This window comes from Homo sapiens, chromosome 1, assembly GCF_000001405.40.
Source record: "Homo sapiens chromosome 1, GRCh38.p14 Primary Assembly".
Lineage (NCBI taxonomy): Eukaryota > Metazoa > Chordata > Mammalia > Primates > Hominidae > Homo > Homo sapiens.
In genome coordinates, this window is record NC_000001.11 from 19,396,510 (window position 1) to 19,418,564 (window position 22,055).

A 22,055-nucleotide genomic window follows, 5' to 3' on the forward strand; every position below is an offset into this window, starting at 1 on the left:
CCCCTCGTACCCTACACAGGCTCCTCCTAAAGCCAGACCCGCAGCCTTCCCAGCATGAAGGCAAGCACGGGGTAGCTGCTGTTCTCTTCCCGGACGGTCCTCAGTCCTCGGTCCAGCTTTCTCAGTCCACATTTTTATTAAGGATTATTGGCCAGACGCAGTGGCTCATGCCTGTAATCCCAGCACTTTGGGAGGCCGAGGCAGGAGGATCACTTGAGGCCAGGAGTTCGAGACCAGCCTGACCAACACGGTGAAACCCCACCTCTAATAAAAATACAAAAAAAAAAAAAAAAAGAAATTAGGCACTGTGGCGAGCACCTGTAATCCCAGCTACTCAGGAGACTAAGGGAGGAGAATCGCTTGAACCTGGGAGGCGGAGGGTGCAGTGAGCCGAGATGGCGCCACTACACTCCAGCCTGGGTGACAGAGAGGACTCTGTCTCAAAAAATTAAAAAAAAAAAGATTATCGTATTGGCTTGTATTCTTCTGTCACCTGAAATCTTTTTGGGAAAAGACCAGGTAAAAATACACAAACATAACTCATATATAAGTTGATTTTTCTCCAAAGACACTGTAATTTCACAGAGGATCTCTGTCCTCTCGTTTAAGTGAAAAGATACATAGTGAAACCAAATTTTTGTTCTCGTCAACATTTTAATGAAACATTATTCAAGGGCCTGCTGTAGGTCATAATTCCCAAGAACCTATGGACAACATTAAGTGAGGACTTACTGAACTATCAAAGTTATGATTGGAATAACAGCAAAGATGTTTAGGTCTTACCATTTAAAAGGCATGTAACACACATCCTCATTTTATCATCACAGCAACCCTGCAGAAGGCAGGGGTGTTATTATCCCACATTACTGTTTACAGGTGAAAAAAAGAGGCACAGGTAGGTTAAGCAACTTGGCTATGGTCACACAGCAGGTAATTCAATGAAAGCCATGCGATCCCACCCTAAGGCCGTGCGGACTCTAGAATGACACCTGGTGAGTAACCTAGCAGGCAAAATAATTCAGCTGAAAGAGTCACCAGCTGGATGGTGGCAGAGAGAAGTACTTGGCAAGATTGGTTTTTCACACAAGGTCAACGCGAACGGAACCTCTCATACCAGCCACCTACTAGGGTACAGCATCAAGACCTAATTTCAGGGAGGGAAATGGGAAATGCATCCATTTCATCATCACTGGATACTAAGGGTTAGGCCTGGCCTCAGGCTTTATAAACCACATGTGTGCCAAATGTCCACGTCTAAACCTAGAGTTTAGGGTGAAAACTATGAATGGGCTACCATGGAAGTTACAAAATAAGAATGCAGGGGGAAGCCTGAGGGCGCGCGCCACCCGAATGCGGGAGGAGCCAGATGGGGCAGCATAGGAAGGGCTGTTCTTTACCACTGATCTGGGGGGCTCATGATCGCCCAGAGGGACAGACCAACAGCATCGGGGTCTGTGGGTTGATATTCATCTGCACGTCGACACTGGTGGGGATGCCAGGGAAATCTCACATGTTCTGTTTAGCAGAAACGAGACACCTGAGGCAGAAAGTGACAATAAGGAGTCACACGGCCAGGCAACCATGGGCAATGGCAACGCAGGGGATACTTTAGAATCTGAAAGCCTGTGAAACACCCTCAAGTCCGAGAGGATCTGCTCCATGATGAGGAACTCCGTGACCTCCAGGGCCCACACACGGAGGTGAGCCACAGTCATCCTGCCACACCTGCTCAGTCTCCCGATGAGCCAGGCGAGGTGCTGAGCCCTGTACTCCTCGCCCCAGGGGTCCTGATAGCCCCTTGGGAGGCGAATGACCTTTGAAGCCACAGCAGAGGCTGACCAGCTCAGAGCACGGAGCCACTGAGTCAGAGGGCGGAGGTCTGGCTTCCTCCAACAGATTCTCCAAAAATCCTCACGATCACAAGCTTCTAAACCTCCATGACCTACCATGATTCCAGTAATACTTCTGTTTCCCTTCAAGTGGGAGTGTTTGTGCCATGTTTACGTGTCTGAGTGGGGGAGCGGGTGCTAAGGCAGACTCAACAAGTCGGGTTGCTTCGCTGTTCTCAGCACAAAAGTCACCCAGGCTGTCTGGCCACAATGTTTCACACTGGATTCCTTCCACTGGAGGGATGTCTCATCAGGTTTTGCTGTAATTTCACTGAGTCACCCATAGAAACGACCAAGCAGGGGAGACTGGAGGGGACATCTCCAGGGGGCCACATCTGAGCTGAGTTACAGAAAGTGAGGCAGGGCTGGCAGTTAGGGCAGGTCGCAAAGCAGCCCAAGGACTAAGGTGCAGACAGAGAGCATCTCTGTCTGTCAAAGGCAGACAGCGTGGGATGCCGAATGCTGATAGCTGCACAACTCTTTTTTTTTTTTTTTGTCACCCAGGCTGCAGTGCAATGGAGCGATCTCGAGTACCGCAACCTCCGCCTCCCAGGTTCAAGCAAGTCTCCTGCCTCAGCCTCCCGAGTAGCTGGGACTACAGGTGCTTGCCACCATGCTTGGCTAATTTTTTTATTTTTTAGTAGAGACAGGGTTTCACCATGTTGGTCAGGCTGGTCTTGAACTCCTGGACTCAAGTGATCCGCCTGTCTTGCCCTCCCGAAGTGCTGGGATTACAGGCATGAGCCACCATGCCCAGCTAGCTGCACAACTCTTGCGTGTGCTAAAAACCATTGGACCGTACACTTTAAAAGTGTAAATGTTATGTTATGTGAATTATATCTCCAGAAAGCTGTTGTTAAGAAGGTGAATCAAGAGAGGATATTTTAGGCAGAGAGAACCACATGGATCCAAGACATCACAGGTAGACATCCAGGAAACCAACAGTTTCAGAATACGAGTACGTCATGTGACCCAGAGTTAGGTTGGTAAAAAGTGACCCTGGGTGTCAGGAACCATGGGCAGTGTTGTCTTTCTCCTCACTCTCAGTCGTAGCTGTTTGACTCTTCACTCTTACTACCCAGAGCTTTTCCTACATCAAAATAAACCAAGGTACTGCAGGGACTTGCCACTGGCCTGGAAGTCAGAGCTGGTTCTGCCATGAAACGGTGCTACATGGGGCATGGGCCACAGCTCCCTGGTCTCTGCAATGGATGGTTCTCTGAGAGAGGAGCACTTTGAGGGCTGTGAGTACAGAGGGAGGAGCTCAGGGTGTCAAGAGTGGGAGAGGAAGTCTGGGCCTACCACCTTCTACCTGGTTTATTCAAGTTCTAAGATTTTGCTTAAAAAAAGGGCTGTACCAATTTTCCAAATGTTTGAAAACCACTAGATGAGATAATCGGTAAGGTTCATTTTAGTGTTGACATCCTACGAAGTTTCATAGTTCAAGACTTGAGAGTTACTCAAAAGTTTGTGTCATCCCTCCTAAAACAAACCTTTACTAAGCAAGGTACTCTGAGGCTCAAACCAACTGTGGACTGCCCAGCTCTTCGGTTCACAGCCTTAGGACACAGATGCAAGCAGCTGAGTGAGTTATTCACAAGAAGGGGAAGAAGGAAAAGGCTTGGAACCCATAATCTTCTCCCCTGAATGCCATGTTCAAATTTAAACTCTTAGGGAATTTCTATATTTGTATACAGAATCCAAATTCCCTTCTCTTTTCTCTTCCAGGAGAGATTCCGAGCCCACCCCTTGCCTGCCTCCGAGACCTCAACACCATCCTGCTTACTAAAGGGAGCCCAGTTTTTCCCGCTACCCATGGCACAGGTCTTCGTCAATTTCAGTGTGCCCTTCATGAATCTGGCATGTGGTCACTGGCAGTTAAAGGGGGTGATGATGGAGAGGAGAAACCCCAGGCTCCAACTACAAAACCCTGCGGGACACGCAGGCTCCTCTGGGCTTCCCGGCCCACATTCCTGGCCTATTTCAAACATCAGGGAAGCAGACTGAGCGTGCCATGCCCTCCTCAAGTATTTTTAACCTGTTTCCAAAACCAGACATGTTCTAAGGGGGGCGACCCAGGAATTCCTCATCCAGGGCCAGTGCCTGCCAACCGCGAGATGTTGGCTTTCTAACAGCTCTGAGGAGGGAGTTGTTGTCTGCCTTTTCTGGCACGTGGGGAAGTGGGATCTCTCTCCAATTCACTTTTACGTCTCACATTTCTCATCAACCAGAGGGCAGGATCTAACTTAAAGTGAGAGTCTTCAGACCATCCTCAATGGAAGCTCTCCAAACACTGTTCTCCGGCTTCCAACAACAACAGGAGTCCATAAGGTTCCCCAAATGAAGGACCTGGATAGATCTTGTAGGAAAAAAAATCCTATGAGGACAAGGCCAAGGAACGGGCCTATATGCACTTCACTTGAATTATGCCTCCTGGCTCTAGGTGACAAGAGCCATCTTTTTCACCACTGGAGAGCTCAGCCTCCTACCACCTTGCCCCGATCCTGACCTGGTTCAGATTCCTCGCTAACATACTTCTCTCACCTTGTAGCACTGTTGCACATTGAACAGGAGGGAAAAGCTCTTTTGTTCATTTTCCTTAGAATGGAACCAAAATGATACTCCAGTAGCTCCATCTAAAAGCTCAAGTGGCAGCTAACAGCACGGACACCAGGGGCATCCCTTGCCAGCTTCCAATGCCATGGTGAGAGACACTCATCATGGTTTAAAAAAAGACCAGAGAGCATTTTCACAAGCAATTCCTAAGAGACTTAAATTTCCTACACATAGGCAGAATAAAAACCAAAAAGGAAAAAAAAAAAACTTCCCCCAAACAAAAGTGAGGGCTTTCAAGGAGACTTGCTGAGTGGGCAAACATTTTGGAAAGATGGAATTTTAAACACAAACACAAAAGGGCAAAGATTTGCAGCAGAAGAGCTATGCACACAGCCGGGAGGACTTTAATTAGGGAAAGCTTTGCAAAGCCCAGGGAGCATCAGCATCGGCAAATCTCCCCTTGGTCTCCGGAATGGAAAGAATGTGGAAACCAATGGGTGATCAAGGAGTTCGAATTTTGCCTGACACTCTTGCTGGGAATGAAGCATGCAGTCCTGTCTTTTGCCACCTTTTCAGCAGCCTCAGGTGAGCCTTTTAAAAAGGTGAAAAACGAAGGACCACCTAGCCTGGGAGAAGCCAGGGTGGATCCTCTCCTTCCTAGGGTGCTTCCTGCAGATGGCACACAGCCAAAGCTCTTCTGGTGTTTTAAGGCAGAAACAGAATTCAGGGGAGGACTAAACAACCCCTTTAGAGCTACGTGCTGTGTTTTTTGTTTGCATTTTTCCAAGTCCAGGCATTTTTCCAGGTATTTCCAATGAGACTGAAATGGCCTACACATAGGCTGACGACCTATAATAACATAAGAAAGTGATGTTGGCCCCCTGCTCCACCCAGAGGGGACATCTGCTTATTTGGCTTCCAGGTGGTGGGAGCAGTGGTTTTCCCCAAACAGCTAATACCCTTCAATTCTTTGCTTTCTGTATCATGAAGTTCACTGGAGTTTGGAGCACAGACTCTTTAAACCAGTAATTTAACTCTACTTTTGAGGATACCCTATGCCCCCAGCAGTTATGAGAAGGGTTGCCAAATCTTAACTCATAAGGGTGACAGGATCAGGAACAAAGGCCTGGACTCTCCACCCTTCTCCTCTGCCAAAATCTACGAGTTCAGGAAAATGGCAAGCCAGGAGTTTACTTTAGGTTCCCTCAAGAGCAGCAGCTGTTCCCACCAGGGCTGCGAAGGAATCAACAGGAACTGAGAGAACACCTGAATGGTCTGATTCAGAAAGTCCCAGCTCCCTGTGAGGTCAATAAAGAACTTTGTCTCAACAGAGGCAACAAGGCCACTGCCTCCTAGGAAAGGACTGATGTGGGCTTTTCTAGAGGCAGGCAGGCTCTTGGATCAACAGGCTTACAAGGGCACATTTCTCAGTTACGATCTTAAAATTGCAGGGAACCTGCTGATCTCTGTCCCTTACCCATCTAGAAAGTCTGAGTGGGAGCTAACAGCTGATCCTCAGCAAAACCAGAGTGTGCGCCCATCACCTGCTTTCTGGTAAGGGACCCATGTGGCCTGAATCAAAACTCAAAGCTCACTAGACACCAATTCACACGCTCTATCTAATCAGGCAGAAACCCAGCTGCTCCTGCTCAGTCCCTGCCCAGCTAGTACCTTCCCACCACCCACCAGCTGTATCTCAGGCTCTGCCCACTCTAAGCTTTCCCTGGGATTTGCCTGCCAAGGGTGGGCCACGGTGTCCTCTGTGGTGCTCTGCAGTGCCCATGTTCCTCACATCAGAAGCCTTGCATTCTGGCTGGGAGCGGTGGCTCACCTCTGTAATCCCAGCACTTTGGAAGGCCGAGGCGGGTAGATCACCTGAGGTCAGGAGTTCGAGACCAGCATGGCCAACATGGTGAAACTCCATCTCTACTAAAAATACAAAAAATTAGCTGGGGGTGGTGGCAGGCACCTGTAATCCCAGCTACTTGGGAGGCTGAGGCAGGAGAATTGCTTGAACCAGGGAGGCAGAGGTTGCAGTGAGCCAAGATTGTGCCATCACACTCCAGCCTGGGCAACAAGAACAAAACTCCATCTCTAAAACAAAACAAAAAAAAAGAAGCCTTGCATTCTATCCATCCTGGGTTATCTGGCTCCCACCGTGGCTATGAGCTCTTTAAAGACACAACTATTCTGTTGTCACTCTGACCCTGGTGCTTCAGCTTAGGCAGGGCCTTGCATTCATGGGGGCTCAAGTAGGCATGCACTCACTGAATGTCCGCTTCAGGCTTGACAGTGGGGATACAAAGGTGAACAAAAGAAAAGATCCCTGCCCTCCAAGAGCCAAAGCTCCTAGGATGGAGCAAGTCCAAGAGACAGGAGAAGCAAGGGGCATGCTGGGGGGCAGGGTGAGGGAAGTGAGGCTCCAGCGGAGATGGGAAGATGAGCAGTTAGAGGGAGCAGAGTTGGTGTGGACATGTGTCCCAGTCAAGGAAACGGCATGTACAAAGATGCAACAAGACAGGGCACAGGCCTGGGAGTGTGCAAGACAAGGAGACAGGAGGAAGGGGCAGGGCCAGATCAAGAGCTCTTCCACCTAGATGTGTTCTCCGGGCTTGATCCCGACAATGTGGAGTCATTAAGGGACATTATCCGAAGTGCATTTTGGCAAGACTACTCTGTATGCAGAGCAGGCAGGGGATGACAGGCAGGAAGGCCTGTCTACAGGCTATTATAACACTCCAGTAATGCAGGGAGGAGCAGTAGCAATAAACATTCATTGAACTGCTCTAAAATGAGGATTGGGACATACCTTCACCCAACAGGCTGGATAAGGTGGATGGCACTCTGTAAAAAAGTGACCCCGCTTTGGGCAGGTGGAACTACATCTCCACTGGCCTTCAGCAGCCTGAGCTGCACCCAGTGCCCCTTCTGCCTGCCTCCCTCCTGGACTCCAGCCGCAGTTCCTCCCTGTCACATGCCCTACTTAACGCCTGCAGCATCAAGACTCAAGAGGTTGAAGTACAAGAGGTAACAGTAGTAGGCCGGGCACGGTGGCATCACTTGAGGTCGGGAGTTTGAGACTAGCCTGGCCAACATGGTGAAATCTCGTCTCTACTAAATATACAAAAATTAGCTGGCTATAGTGGTACACACCTGTAGTCCCAGCTACTCGGGAGGCTGAAGCAGGAGAATCGCTTGAATTGGGCAGGCAGAAGTTGCAGTGAGCCAAGATCGTACAACTGCACTCCAGCCTGGGAGACAGACTGAGACTCCATCTCAAAAAAAAAAAAAAAAAAAAAAAAAATATGGCTGGGCGCAGTGGCTCATGCCTGTAATCTCAGCACTTTGGGAGGCCGAGGCAGGCAGATCACTTGAGGTCAGGAGTTTGAAACCAGCCTGGCCAAATTGGTAAAACCGCATCTCTACTAAAAATACAAAACTTAGCCAGGCACGGTGGTACAGGCCAGTAGTTCCAGCTATTCCAGACGCTGAGGCTGGAGAATCACTTGAACTCGGGAGGTGGAGGCTGCAGTGAGACGAGATCACGCCACTGTACTCCAGCCTGGGTGACAGAGCAAAACTCCATGTTAAAAAAAAAAAAAAAAAAAAAGAGGTAATGGGAAAAATGCTCGCTTGTCATTGCAAGATCTGAGCTCACCTCACAGTCCCTCTCCCACCTGGAAGAAGGCAGGACATTTCAGAGCCCGATCAAGCAGCATTCACCCACCTATCTGGCCAAACAGGGAAACGCAGGCTGCTTTTGACAAGGGGCACGCACCCTCCTCCTTAAAAGGACAGCTCAGCAATCATGGGAAAGCAGTGGATTCCAGCCGCTCCTGTCAGGGATTCCACCACCTTCTTTGGATGATTTGCACCAAGTATTTTCCCTACATGACTTCCTTTAATATTCACAATTGTCCTCTTTTAGAGTGAGGCAAATCCAGAATTCTCTCCATTACACAGATGAGGAAACTGAGGCCTGGAGTCTGGTAGCTTACCGAGGGTCACCTAGATATTCAGGATGCATGCTCCCAGCCCCAGCTAACTCATGACTCCGTGACCTTAAAGACTCTGTCCATATACTGCCACCTGCCGGGACCACCAGCCCTTGAGTCCCAGGGGCTGAGGTCTCCTGAGTCATAGCTCAGCTCCAAGAGGCATCCGTCCCTTCTCATCTCTGGGTCTCAGATCACACAGCCTAGAATGTCTAATGTGGACTCCCCTCAGAATTTGGGGATAGCAGGGTTTTTGGTTCATTATCTCATATTTATTTGTGGCCATATCGACATGTGGCCAGGCACTGTGTTAGGGTCTGGGGATAGAGGTGAGCATCATGGCATCCCGCAGGTGCTCGGAAGCCAGAGGGCCCTCCAGTGCTAAGAGTACAGTTACAGCACACAGCAGTGCTTTCAGTGCGTTAGATAAAACGTGGAGATTTGGCTGCCCCTACAGGCAGCGTTTGGGACTAGGAAGGTCAATGAGACAGGAAAACAATGCGGGCGAAGAAGTATTAAGCCTCTTTAAAACACCTGATGTACATATCTCCTCTACTCCCAACTGATGTTCAACACATAGCTAGAAAGAGGCAAAAAAAAAAAAAAAAAAAAAAAATCCCCTTGTATGAAGGATAATCCTTTCAGCCTGGGGCAAATCTCCTGAAGAGTTTTGTTCTGAACTAGGAGTGTTGTTTTAGCTTCCAGTCAATAGTAATTAAGAGTCCCAATATATTCCAGAAAGAGGGAGAGGGAGATTAACGATCATTAAATCTCTTCTGCATTTGGCTCCAAATCTCTTTTCGGAGGGGCCGGCTGTCAGATGATCCCTCCAAAGCGTCCATCTGACAGCACTCCCGCCGCCACCATCTGGAACATCAATTCGAGAGCTCGCCTGAAGGTTTCAATTACATAAAAGGCAATGGGCCCATTAGGACCCGAGAGTCTGGAGCTTCACAAGCGCTGCTCACACCCCCTCTCCTGTACACAAAGCCTCTAGAATTTGGTTGGCAGTCATTTGCAAAGGGACTCATTTTGGTGGGGGCATGGGGCTGGCCAGCCCCTTGGCAAGGCCTCTCTCAGGCAGGCTCTGTGCGTGCTATGACTGACAGGGTCTCTAATGAACCTTAATTGTGAGCTCGACAGGCCCAGGAAGGCAGCCACAGATGTGGCAAAGGGCAACCGCAAACCGTCTGATTAGTGAATAAGAAGTGTCCGGCCCAGTGAGGGCCAATGACCCAAAAAAGGAGGAGGGCGGGACTATTCCTCCCCCACGCATCCCTTCTAAAGCTCTGAAGCTTCTTTATGTAAGCAATGCAAAGCCTCTGGGTGCACTGGAACCCAACGCACCCCTCCCCCCGGCACTACTGCTTGGCAGCTGGCAGCTGGGATGTTGGGGTCTTGTGCTTGTTACCACGGATGCTTCCGTCTCCATCAGCAGTGCACCTTTAACCACAGGAGGCCAGAACAGAACGCCCTTTCAACGTGGGAAGGGGGAAGCTACCCACTACGGAGACTGAGTAACTTCTTGCCGGTGCTAAGAATTGTGAAGACAGCTGCATTCAGAGTCAGCCATCCTCTGGTGACCTGCAGTGACAAGGAGAAAGCTACTCCTGGGGCAGCTTTGGGCACAAACAGCGTGACGGAGAAGACAGGCTTTGCAGACGGGTAGATCCCAACTCTGCTCCTTACTAATTAGCTGTGAGGCTTGGACCAACTCATGAAACCTCACTTGGTTTCCTCATCTGTAAAATGGGCATAAAAGATCAACCTTGTGGTGTGCAGTTTAAATAAGCAAAGGGTCTGGAACAGTACCTGGCACACGATAGTCATCTCTTAAAACCCGGGAGAACAGCAGAGTATTTTGCGCAAGTTTGACATGACCTCAGAACTCCATGCAGACAGCTACTACAAGCCAGGTACTATGCTAGAAGCTTTACACCCCCCATCTCTCATTCTTGAAGTTAGTGTCATGCCCATCTCACAGATGAGGAAACTGAGGCTCAGTGGTCACACAGCTAAGACGTGGTAAAGACAAGAGCTGAACAGGATTGTGCCTTTCGATTTCAAGGCACTCCACTATCAACTTCAATGCTCCTAACCAAGCATTTCAGGCATCCTCAGACTAACAGCCTAGAAACACCTAACCAAGAATTTTGTAGAATTTGAATTCCCAAATACACCAAAACAGGCTTCTCTGGCCTGGCATATAAAGGTGTGGTAGGGGGCACTAAATGGCCAATCTGTTTCCAAGGAAGTCTGCAAAACAAATGAGGACTCCACTTCCAGCCTTGGTCTGCTTCTTGGCTAGTGGCACCTCACAAGCATTTTCTGCATCAGGGTCATGAATAGGTAGCAGCAGGTGAGCTGCTAAAATAGCCTCCCCACCAGAAAGCAGTCCCAGGAGAGGCCCAGAGATACAGAACAGAGGCCCATCACTGGGAGGTTGTGTAGGACCCTCACACATAGACTGGGGGGCTCTCAAGCTGGGGAAAAGGGTACCTGGGGGGAGACTAGAGATGTAGGTTCAAGAAGGGGACAAGAGATTCAGAGGAAAGAGGAGCAAGAGGTGAGCAGTGCTGATAAGGAAGAGGGTAAATGGCAAGGAAGCTGGGAAACCGACAGAAAGGATCCTGAGGACCCAGGTTTCACAGGTGACCTGGCACCTCTGGAAGGCTGAGGATTGAGGGGTCTGATGACCTGGGAGGCTGCAAGGCTGGCTTGTCCTTGGACACTGAGATCAACCTAAGACTCCTTCCTGCCGCCTTAGACCATCCAGCCACGCTCTTGTCTAGCTTTCTCTCCCAGGGCTTCCGAAGACTTTCCCAATGATAACCGGGGTCAGCTCCTCATTCAGGGAGCAGAAGCAGGAAGAAAAGTGCCTAGCAAGCAATCAGGAAGAGGAGGGGGAGAGACCCTCACCAGGGCGGACTGTGCAGCTGGTGTCAGATGACCCTTATCTCTGCAGAATGGAAACCAGCCAGCCAAAGTCTGGAGGCTCACCTTCTGACCTCCATGACTCGCCTTTGGGTGGGGGGCCGTGGCATTTTCAGCTTCCCATTCAGGGATCCTTACCTTGACAAGTTCTCATGACTATCTACAAGGCCTCAATGGAGGGCCTCTTAATCTCCTTCCTCAGTTAAATAAGCCAAGTCCTTGCAAACGTGCACTGGGTTATAAAATGCCCCACTGTGGGAGCCAAGGCTGGGACTTGGTTCACCTGTGAAAACTCAGCCCAAAAGGCTGCCCAGGGCATCAGGGCACAGCCTCTAGGCTGGTGGAACCCAGGAGTGAGCCAATCGGCCCTAGGAAGCCAACAAAGGCAGTAAAGGCAACAGCCAGCATCAATTAAGTGCCTGTCTTCCACTCACATCTGCAGTTTACACGCACCCCAAATCCTCACAACCGTCTCATGAATTCGGCTTTCGGAAACTGTGGGAGATGAAGTGCCTTGTCCAAGGTCTCAAAGCTGGAAGGTGACCAGGCCAGGATTCAAGTCCTAGTGAGCCTTCTCTTCTGGCTCTAGTGAGCCACCCAGGGACAAAGACTGTGGGCTGGAGTATCTGCTGGAGGCCCCTGCCGGCTCTGTTCTCTCCACCTATTTACCAGATGGGGCAGCTCATAGGCCTGAGAGAAACTGAGGTCTCTTCTGCCAGCAAAAGGGGAGCCTGAAAGTGGTGACATCAACAGAAGGGTATCCATGGTGATGTTCTTTTAGTTCTAGGCAACAGACCTCCAGTTCTGAGAGACTGAGAGACCATCAGGCCTGCACTTCGCAGAGTGGGGGCCCGAGACCCAAAGACCTGCAATTCCCAAAGCAAATTAGTGGCAGACTCAAAGCCACAGCCCAGGTCTCCTGACTTCCAGTAAGATTTGCCAAGGCACCTTCTTAATGGACATAGTGCTTCCTTTTCATCTACCTTTGTCCCTCCTATTGAAGCAGCAGGAAGTTTCCTGAAGCAGTTCTCTATTTGCACAAATAGATAAATAATTCCAAAAAAGCTATGTTTCCTTCTACCCCATTTTACCAAACACTTATGAAAATAAAAGGTTTGGCTAATATCACACTTAGGGCCATTGTCAAAAAAGGGTGTAGAATCCAGGCCACTTAGTGTGTAGGTTATGATCCTTCCCAGGAAAACAATGTTTCCCAAAGCACATTCCTTGAACGTGAGTTGGGATAACAGGTTCAGTTCTTTTTTTATTAACTGTGGGACTTCTCAGAGCCTTTAATATGCCAACATGGGTGATGATGCTCTTAATGGATAATGGAGTCTGATTATCCAGACTCTGGATTTCTCCCAGTCAATCGCTGCCCTTTATCCCTCAAGAGACTCAATGCCAAGGTGAGGGGATCCACTTCATTAGAAAGTCACGAAATGTGCAGGTCACAGTCCAACAAGAAACGAATCCACCCACCAAGCAGAAGGAACAGTCATCCATGAAGGAGGCTTTTCCAGCCATCCCATCTCGGTTTATTTTGCACTTCTAACTACTAGTGAGGACCAAAGTTTCACATATTAGGCGTTTGTGTTTCTTCCTCTGTGAATTGCCTATGTAGCCAGCTCTTTCTTCTAACAAAGTATTCCTACTTCTCCTATTGATGGAGGCAATGCCATGTGGTAGTTAAGAGCCCCGGAGTCAGGTTGTCTGGGTTCAAAGCTTAGCTCCACCATCATACTTGGTGACCCTGGATAAACTGCTGGAGGCCCTGCTTCTTCATCTGTCCAATGGGGACAACTCTAATAGCCTCAGCAGGTGTTCTCAGATTTAAAGAGAGAAGCGTTTTGCCAAAAGGTACAAATGCTTTTCAGAGTGTGTTCCTTGCTTTTTAATTTTGTGTAAACTTCTAAGTTAAATTTGCATGCAGTCAAAGCTATCATTTCGGCACTGGCTTATGCACCTTCTAAAGGCCTCTTCCATCTCAAGATCAAATACTGATGTTTGCTCTCTGGGTCTTTCATGTTCGTTTAATAGTTAATTCTTCAGTCCATGAGAAATACGCAATATGACTACATGCTGTTGCAATAGAGTTTTAGTGTGTTTTCCTTCAAAAGTATTAGCTGTTTCAACACATTTATTGAACAATTATTTTTCTCCCAAATAGGAATACCACTTGTGATTGTTCTAAGTTCTTCCATTACTGAGTCTGTTTCTGAGAATTCTGACTGATTTGCTTCCGCCACTCAGCCTGGAGCTCTGCAGCTGTCTTCACGCACTGCCTGCTTGCCTCTTAGGTGACTGCCTTTAAATTAAATGTACCAAAATCAGCCTGTGCTCCAGCATAAATCAGTTAGAACAGATAGGATGCCAGGGGAGATGGAGGGACAAGAGCCCATTTGTAACAGCAAAAGGAGATGCCACCTAGAAATAAGCTCCCTTACTGAACCATCCCGTTGGTTCTTGCAGTGCACTGCTTTTTCCAAAATTTTTACATTTGTTTTAACTGAAAGTATAGTGATATACTACTTGTGTCTGGGCAGGATGCTTTCAAAATAGCACTTTCCCCCCAAACACACACAATGCAAAGTGTGTATGGGTGGGGGGTGGTGGGGGGCTGCAATAGGAAGCTTTGCCTCTGCCCCACTGTTCCAACTGAGCCCGGGTTCCCCACAGCCCAGCCGGTTGAAGGGAGCGGCGGCTCCTCTGCTGGTCAAGCTCTGGAGGAACATCGCCTGCCCAGAGCTCCACACCAGCAGTGGCAGGAAGAGAAGTTCAAGTCCTTTTCCCTTAGGTACTTCCATGGTGACCATTCTTCCCAGGCCCTCATTATAAATTTCCTTTACATTTTCACTTTTAAAAGATTATTTAGCTTTGGCAGGACATTTAAGAAATGGCATACTATAATATTTTCATTTGTAAGGCTGTAATTCAGTGGAAAATACTGACTGGAATCAAGAGGTGGGCTTGACACCTCTTCCCCGCAACCCCACAGCACGCATCACCTATCAGGTCAGAGACTCACTGCCCTCCTCCATTCCTCAGTTTCCTCCCACTCACTTCACAGAATGGCTATGAAGACAGATAAGGTCCTGGATGAAGCGTATTAATAATGAGACCCATCTGTCAGTACTTGCTGACATCTGATGGAGATCCATTAAAAGTTACTTATTTTGGCCAGGCACAGTGGCTCACACCTATAATCCCAGAACTTTGGGAGGCCAAGGTGGAAGGACTGCTTGAGTGTGGAAGGACTGCTTGAGTTCAGAAGTTTGAGACCAACCTGGGCAACATGGTGAGACCCCCATCTCTATTTTCTATGTTTAATTTAAAAAGATGAAAAAAATTTTTTTCCATGTAATTGAAAAGTATTTTATAGGGAATGAAAGAGGGAAGAGTCAAATTGTTAATCTGAGACCAAACAAAAAATACTTTCTGTTTTGAAATTTGTATTCTCTGAAAAATAACCAAAGCTTACTGCGTGGCTATCTTAAAGATGATGGGAGAGCATCAATTTTCAAAATAGTTGGCTTTGGAGAAATTCAAGCCCCTTCCCCTAATGGAAAATCAACCATTACTGTTCTAGGACAGCTCAGGACTGGTGGATACATCGTTGCAGTCTCCTGGAATCAGTCTTTGCTCCCCAAGGAACACACACACAAAATAAAGCCAATGGCCCTACTAATCTCTTTGGTTCATTTCCTTTCTCTTGCACTCCTCTCTTTCATTCATTCCACCGTAATTGTCTGGATTGCCTTTACAGAAGGCAATTAATCGCATTCTTAATTGGATAAAATGAGGAACCATTACGCTGCATGTAACAGAACTCATCAGAATCTGAAATCACTTCTGGCCAAATCTATGAGGGAGCTGGTCAGGTAAGAGCACCCCAGGAAGCCCCACTTCCTCTTTCTAAGCAAATCATGCCATTTCTTCCTGGTGAAGGGCTGCCTGGCTGCCACCTGGACACAAATCAGAGGCTGCACTACTAGGTGGCAGGTCCTCAGGTTGATAACAGGCCGGGGTCATGAAGGGCCGCCATCCTCCGGAGAGGCCAGGATGGGCAGGAAACGCCAGCTTGGCACCCACCGTCCAGAGCATGCCTCCTGCTCTCCCTGCCTCAGTCCCCACAGCTGCCGCCCATTCACAGAGCAAAAGGCTCACGTGAAAAGACTCACCACAATTTTCCAAGGAATGGAGTTTATTAAAATACTGCTGGAGGCTTTTGGCTGGAATGTTTTTTCTCCTTGTAAAACGGGAACTATAGCAGTGTTGTCTATAGGAAAGCTCAGAATACGCTCAGAAACATCAGTCACAACAGAGACTATGTAGGGGCTGGTGCATATTACCAGTGATTCCATCCATTCCGCGGCTCCTGCTCCAGAGATAACATTCGGCTCAGAGGAGAAAACTTCCAGGCAGACCCTAGGATGGGTAGGAGAGAGGAAGCCAAGTTTCCCCACCCTTAACATAAACCCACGGGGAACTCTGGTGGAAAAAGCATTTTTTTAATGTTAAAATGTCTTGCATGTGGGCATGTTATGGATTGGAATACAATTTATTTTTTAATTTTTTTCTTACGAGATGGGGTCTAGTTATGTTGCCCAGGCTGGTCTTAAACTCTGGGTTCAAGCGATCCTTCCACCTCAGCCTCCCAAGTAGTTGTAACTTCAGATGAATGCCACATTTCCAGAGAGAAAACAATTTTTAAATAAGACAAAACATACAATGCTCTCCTTGAGGCAGGCACCTGTGGATTTTCCCCTAAAACCCCAGAAATGTGTATTTGCTCTTCTTTCTTCCTCTATTGACATGAGTACTTTGGGGAAAGAATGAGAAGCGCCAAGGCACAAGTCACTGAGAAACCGGTTAAAAGGTGGCGAGCAATGGCTTGCAGAAGTGGACAAACATTTACTGATAGCTGGGCACGACCATTAAAGAGCCTCTAACACCTTTATGAGTAAGTAAAAACAAATAAGCACAGCTGCCAGTTATCCTGTTCAACAGATGTACAGCGTGCAAAGCTGACCACAGCCAGGTCCTCCTTCCAGAAATTAATTCCCCATAAAATGTCAGCTCCATAGAGCGAGGCTTTTCATCTGGTTCTCCACGAAAACCCCGGCACCTAGAATAGTGTCTGGTGCATGGATGGTGCATTTAATAAATGTTTGCAGAAAGAATAACTCAGTTCTGCAGCTCTTGCTACTCATCCTCAGAGCTTATTCACTGGTCAATGACCAATGGCCTGAGAGAATCCAACTAGGGTCATTCTTTTCGGGGATCAAGCTGAAGAATCCTTGCATTTTGACCCGTGGAGGAGAAGGCAAGGAATAAAGGCTGCACTTCTTCCCAGAATTAAACACAGTGCCTGACTTCCAGGAGGTGCTCAATAAATGTCGACTGAATCCATTACCTTTTCACTTACTTCAGCTGAGACCCTTTTAGAAAGGCAAAAACTTAAAAACAAAACAGGGTCTCATTCTCTCACCCAAACTGGAGTGTAGTGGGGTGATCATAGCTCACTGCAGCTTTGACCTCCTGGGCTCAAGTGATCCTCCCACCCCAGCTTCCTGGGTAACTGGGACCACAGGCGCATGCCACCATGCCCAAAACATTTTTTAATTTTTAGTAGAGATGGAGTCTCCCTATGTTGCCCAGGCTGGTCTCAAACTCCTGAGCTCAAGCAATTCTCCCACCTTGGCCTCCCAAAGTGCTGGGATTATAAGTGTGAGCCACCAGGCCCAGCTTAAGTGAAGACATTTTAAATGTTGTCTTTGAAATAAAGGACGAAAAATGCTGGTCTGAGATTGTTTGAATGACAAGGCTAAAGGGGAAGCTAGGGAAGAAGAAAATGTAAGCCTGCTTACTCTATTAACACAGATAAAGCAGATCCTATCTGGCCTTCAAGATCCCCAAAGGCAGGGGTAGTCGTCTTGGGTCCCAGGCCCAGTGCAGCTTCATCACCTGGGGGACAAAACTGAGTTTTGCTTCACTCCACACAGCTGTCCCTGGAAAAATGATTTCCAGATTTCATTGCTTTGACTATTAAAGACTGAAAACTGAGCAGCACTGCTTAGCAGACATCAGATATTCTGCTAATCAATCGTATTAATGAACTATTGACTAATAGTATCATCCTTAACGTCACCAGTCAATTACAAATGTGTGTGAGCTGGCTCCATGGGCTGCTTCACGGAGAGCAGGTTTTTGGAAACGTAAGCAGCGGGTGTCCACTCACTCGTTCACTAAGGCTCGAATGTGGACACGTCCCCCAAGCACTCAGCCTTCTCATCTGTCAAATCACACTCCCTGCAGACATCATGCTGCCCCGATGGGGGTGGCGATGCGGGGGTGACAGGGATAATTTCAAAGCATGGCTACCGCTGAGGCTGGCAGTGTGAATACCTGTGCCCAGCTGGCTCTATTTCTAGAGGGCTGCTCTGGCTACTTAAAAAGAAGAATATGCTGAAAACAGTTAACCTATGAAGTTATCAACTCCCCGGTAAAAAATCAGGATGTCTCTTCCACCTTTACCTCACTGGCCTGGATACTTTCCCAGCCCTGATGTCTTCCCCTTGATAGAGTAAAGTCTGGGGACACCCAAGAGCTGAGCCTTAGGACAACTGTAAGAAAGAAAGAAGTGAAGGAACTAAAAACATGAAGTGACCAATGTTTGCAAGCAGAGACTTTCTTGCCTAGTTAAACAGATTCACGGCTATTTTTGGTTTGCTCTTAAAAAGGCAAAGGATGGAAGGCCTGCTGGGTGCCAATATGCAGAAACAAACTCCTTCCTCAGCTCAGGGCTCAAAATACACCCCAGCTGAGACATTTCTGCTCTTGCTGCCAGTGTGCAGAGTAAGGCCATAGAAGGGCCAAGTTTATGAAGCCAAGGGAACATCTTCACATCATATGATTCTTGGCCCTCATGGATGTGTGGGTATTTTTGAAACAGCTTAACAACGGATTTCAGCTGGATTCACTCTAGCACAATGGGATTAATATGTAATAAAATGATGTTTTGGCCATCTGCAAAGGAAGGTCATTTCCCACCAATCAGAGCAGGCCTCATAATCCCAAGGCAGCAAAAACTCTCTGATGCTGGGAAGAAAAAAGAAAGCTGACCTGGCATGATAAATTGGGCTGCCTTGGCCTGGCTGCCAAGCATCCCTCACATTTCTCTTCAATACCACTCTGTAATCAGACCATGGTGGACTGGATCCATTCCCCCACAGTTCCCTGGCCCTGACATCTTAAGCGAGGCCATTCCCTTCATGGGGAATGCTGGCAAATCCTAACATTCTCGTCCATCTTAAAACTGGAGACTTTTCTTGAAAACAACAATCTCCCCCCCTTCATTATCTTGGGCAGGTGAGCAGGGAGGAATGACTGCTGTTTGCATGGAGCAGCAGTGCATTAGCTACTTTCAAAACATCTGACTGATCCCAGATTACACGAGACAAAGGCCTGGATCCTTTGCCTTTAGACAGGTGCATAATAGTGTGAATTTTCTGAAACTACCGCTTTGGGAAGAAACTAAAACTGCATGTGAACTTCAATGCTACAACAGTATACTCAGCACAGACCAATCCTTACAGAATAAAAGCATTTCGTAAGTTCAGTTAAACAGGAAAAAAGAAAAACTGTCATTCCCAGAGAACACTGGCAGTGATGAAAATAAAACATTCAAAGAAGAAACCTCCAGGATCAGTCACAGGATCCAGTACAAAGCCAGCGCACTGCCCCTTATATGAGCATCGCACGTAGCGAGGAGTTCAAAGCCAGGCCATCAATCAGAAAGTGGCTTCTGAAGCATGTCAATATAGTTTTTTTTCAGTAGAGATGGGTTTTCGCCATGTTGGCCAGGCTGGTCTCGAACTCCTGGCCTCAAGTTATCCACCTGCCTTGGCCTCCCAAAGTGCTGGGATTACAGGCATGGGCCGCCGCGCCTGGCCAATGCATGTCAATATAGTTTTAATGAGGCATGCATTACCAGATCCTAATTTGTTGAAAAGTCATGCTCCATTTCCATTTTGACATTCCTCATACTTCAATTAAAAAATTAATGAGAACACCGTTTCCCCAACCCACTCTGGACGATGGGAATCCACTCTGGCCTCTTGTTCAGCCTCTGAGGTAGACAAGGCCCCAGGTGGCCTCCACACAGCCGGTGAAGGGAGCTGGTGCCTCTCAGGCCGTCCCGAGGCAGTGGAGGAAAGAGAACCACTAATCATAAATGGCCTGGTTCCGAGAAGGGTTTTTTTGCCCCGTGTCTAGTTCTTGCTTTTAAATTATGTGAATTTAACATTATTCTCCATAATATACCTATGTGTTAACATTTTAGATTACTAATGAATTTAATTAACAGTTTCTCTCCCAACAGGCAAAACTGACACAGCACATAGACACACCACATTTACTCTGTTGCTTTCAGTGTGACTAACCCAAAGGAACCTGGCAAGCAGGAGAAACCAGACCTCCCGGCGCTCCCAAGCCACATCCCTATCCTGGCTTCTTCCCCATAGAGTCTAAATCATCTAAAGGAGGTGAGGTGGCCATATGTACCTTACAGGGGTGTTGTATGACTTTGAAGAAACAATAAACAACACAAACAGAAGTCCCCAGCTTAGTCCTGGGCACACGGCAGGTATTCAACACGTCAGCTGTCCACCTCAACCTCAGCCCACCTCCACCAGCTCTAGCATACATTCTACAGAAGACAAAGTTAAAAACAGAAAAGTAGGATTGCCTGAGGTCAGCAGTTCGAGACCAGCCTGGGCAACATAGGGAGAACCAGTCTCTATGCAAAATAAAACATTTTAAAAAATTGGCCAGATGTGGTGGTGGGCGCCTGTTGTCTTAGCTACTTGCAAGGCTGAGGCAGAAGATCATTTGAGCCCAGGAGTTTAGGAGGCTGCATTGAGCTTTGATTGCACCACTACACTCTAGCCTGGGTGACAGAGCAAGACCCTGTCTCAAAAAAAAAAAAAAAAAAAAAAAAAAAAGTATGCTCTGACAGTAATCTATAGAATGTCACACAGTACACCATATATCAGTGGTAGATACGGCCTGGCACTTCAACCTGTGTCCAAGTACCATCCTGCAACTAAGCCTCAGAGGTGATCTCTCTCATTATCTGGCTATGGCGAAAGACAGCTCTTGATACTCTCCTTCATTCACCATCAATGCTGCAATTTCCCTGTTGAGCCCAGGGAAAACCCGCACGGGCAGCAAGGGAGCCAGTTGACCAGGTTTTCATAAAAGCAGCTACATGCACATCCCTGAAAGAGAGAGTGATGAGGGAGTCCCGGAGAAAAGACACAGCTGTAGTAAAACACTTCAGTTGCCATAAGAACAAAATAGCCTATTAAACACCAGGAAGGGTCCAATGAGAAAAATTTGCTCATCATTTCCTACTTCTATGTTTGGCTTATTTCTAAAATACAGTAATAACTAAATTGGCAAACTAAATTTAAACTCAGCCAAGCATGCTTTCATGCTGAGTTTAGAGGAAAAACAAGCCCCTGCAGCTGACCAAATTAAAGGCAGATCACACCTTCAACTTTTGCCCACCTCTTCCACGTAGGATCAATCATAGATTTCTGACCAAGAAAAATGCAAAGCCATTAAAGCACTTCCCAGACCACATTCTGTAGTCCTACCTCATAGGACTGATGAGAGTTTAAATATGGCTGCGCATGAGGCACTGCATACAAGTTCAGCCGTCAGTGGGCTGATGGTGACCATTCTCACCACATCAAGTCCAAGGTCTCCTCACTTTCAAGGATACCTCCTACCTATCCAACTTTATACTTCAGTATTTCTCAACAAAGGACATCTCCTCTAACCCCTCCAGCCCACACTGCCCGACCGCCCCCAGCTCACATTTCACATGCTCAGGCCCAGGTTCTACACAAAACTGGACCCGGCCAATCTAACGTGCAGCCCAATGTTTAAAAATCAGGATATTCTGCTGGGCACTGTGGCTCACGCCTGTAATCCCAGCACTTTGGGAGGCCGAGACAGGCAGATCACTTGAGGTCAAGAGTTTGAGACAAGCTTGACCAACATGGTGAAATCCCATCTCTAATGAAAACACAAAATTAGCTGGGCACGGTCGTGGGCGCCTGTAATCCCAGCTACTGGGGAGGCTGAGGCAGGAGGATTGCTTGAACCGGGGAGGCGGAGATTGCAGAGAACCAAGATCACCCCACTGCACTACAGCCCGGGTGACAGAATGAGACTCTGTCACCAAAAAAAAAAAAAAAAAAAAAAAAAAAAACCACCACACACAAACAAACCAGGAAATTTTACATAAAACCCCAAATATATGGCTCCTCTAGAAAAATGTGAAAATGAGCAACAGAGGCTTCCAACAGGGCAACAAGCACCAGGAGTAACGAGGGCAGCTGCTCTTCCCACAGGGGCCTGTGCCTCCAGATCCCACCATGCCCACTTCAATGATCTTCCTCACTCGCTGGCTCCTGGCCGGGGACCCCTGATCCTGAGCACACAGTGGGTTCATTTGCATCACAACTATGTTACTACCCCCCTGAAATGTCGACTGTCTGGCAGGACCCTCTCTTTTTGATACCTGCCTTCTCTCCGCTTACATCACAAGCATGTGCAGTTGTCTCTCTGAGCAGCCAGTGACCTCAAGAAACCTCTTTCTTCCCACTTC

The 22,055-nt window shown here is 47.7% G+C and overlaps 1 protein-coding gene and 1 long non-coding RNA gene across 13 annotated transcripts in view, besides 2 other annotated features; one reads left to right on the forward strand and one right to left on the reverse strand.

Moving 5' to 3' along the window:
• The window catches only part of CAPZB (capping actin protein of muscle Z-line subunit beta), a 146,765-nt gene that overhangs the window by 57,735 nt on the left and 66,975 nt on the right, over positions 1-22,055 (reverse strand). The gene's annotated exons all lie outside the window — the stretch shown is intronic.
• Positions 4,672-5,351: an enhancer, noted in NCBI's record as "OCT4-NANOG-H3K4me1 hESC enhancer chr1:19727675-19728354 (GRCh37/hg19 assembly coordinates)". NCBI's record gives its function as "activates a minimal SCP1, AML or CMV promoter by ChIP-STARR-seq in primed H9 embryonic stem cells {active_cell/tissue: H9 hESC(primed)}" and the evidence as "EXISTENCE:reporter gene assay evidence [ECO:0000049][PMID:30033119]".
• Positions 6,030-6,707: an enhancer, noted in NCBI's record as "H3K27ac-H3K4me1 hESC enhancer chr1:19729033-19729710 (GRCh37/hg19 assembly coordinates)". NCBI's record gives its function as "activates a minimal SCP1, AML or CMV promoter by ChIP-STARR-seq in naive H9 embryonic stem cells {active_cell/tissue: H9 hESC(naive)}" and the evidence as "EXISTENCE:reporter gene assay evidence [ECO:0000049][PMID:30033119]".
• LOC124903868 (uncharacterized) lies at positions 12,181-19,897 on the forward strand. Its single transcript, XR_007065524.1, has 4 exons — positions 12,181-12,303; positions 13,545-13,674; positions 14,559-14,672; positions 19,809-19,897. It is a non-coding gene; the product is annotated as an uncharacterized LOC124903868 (long non-coding RNA).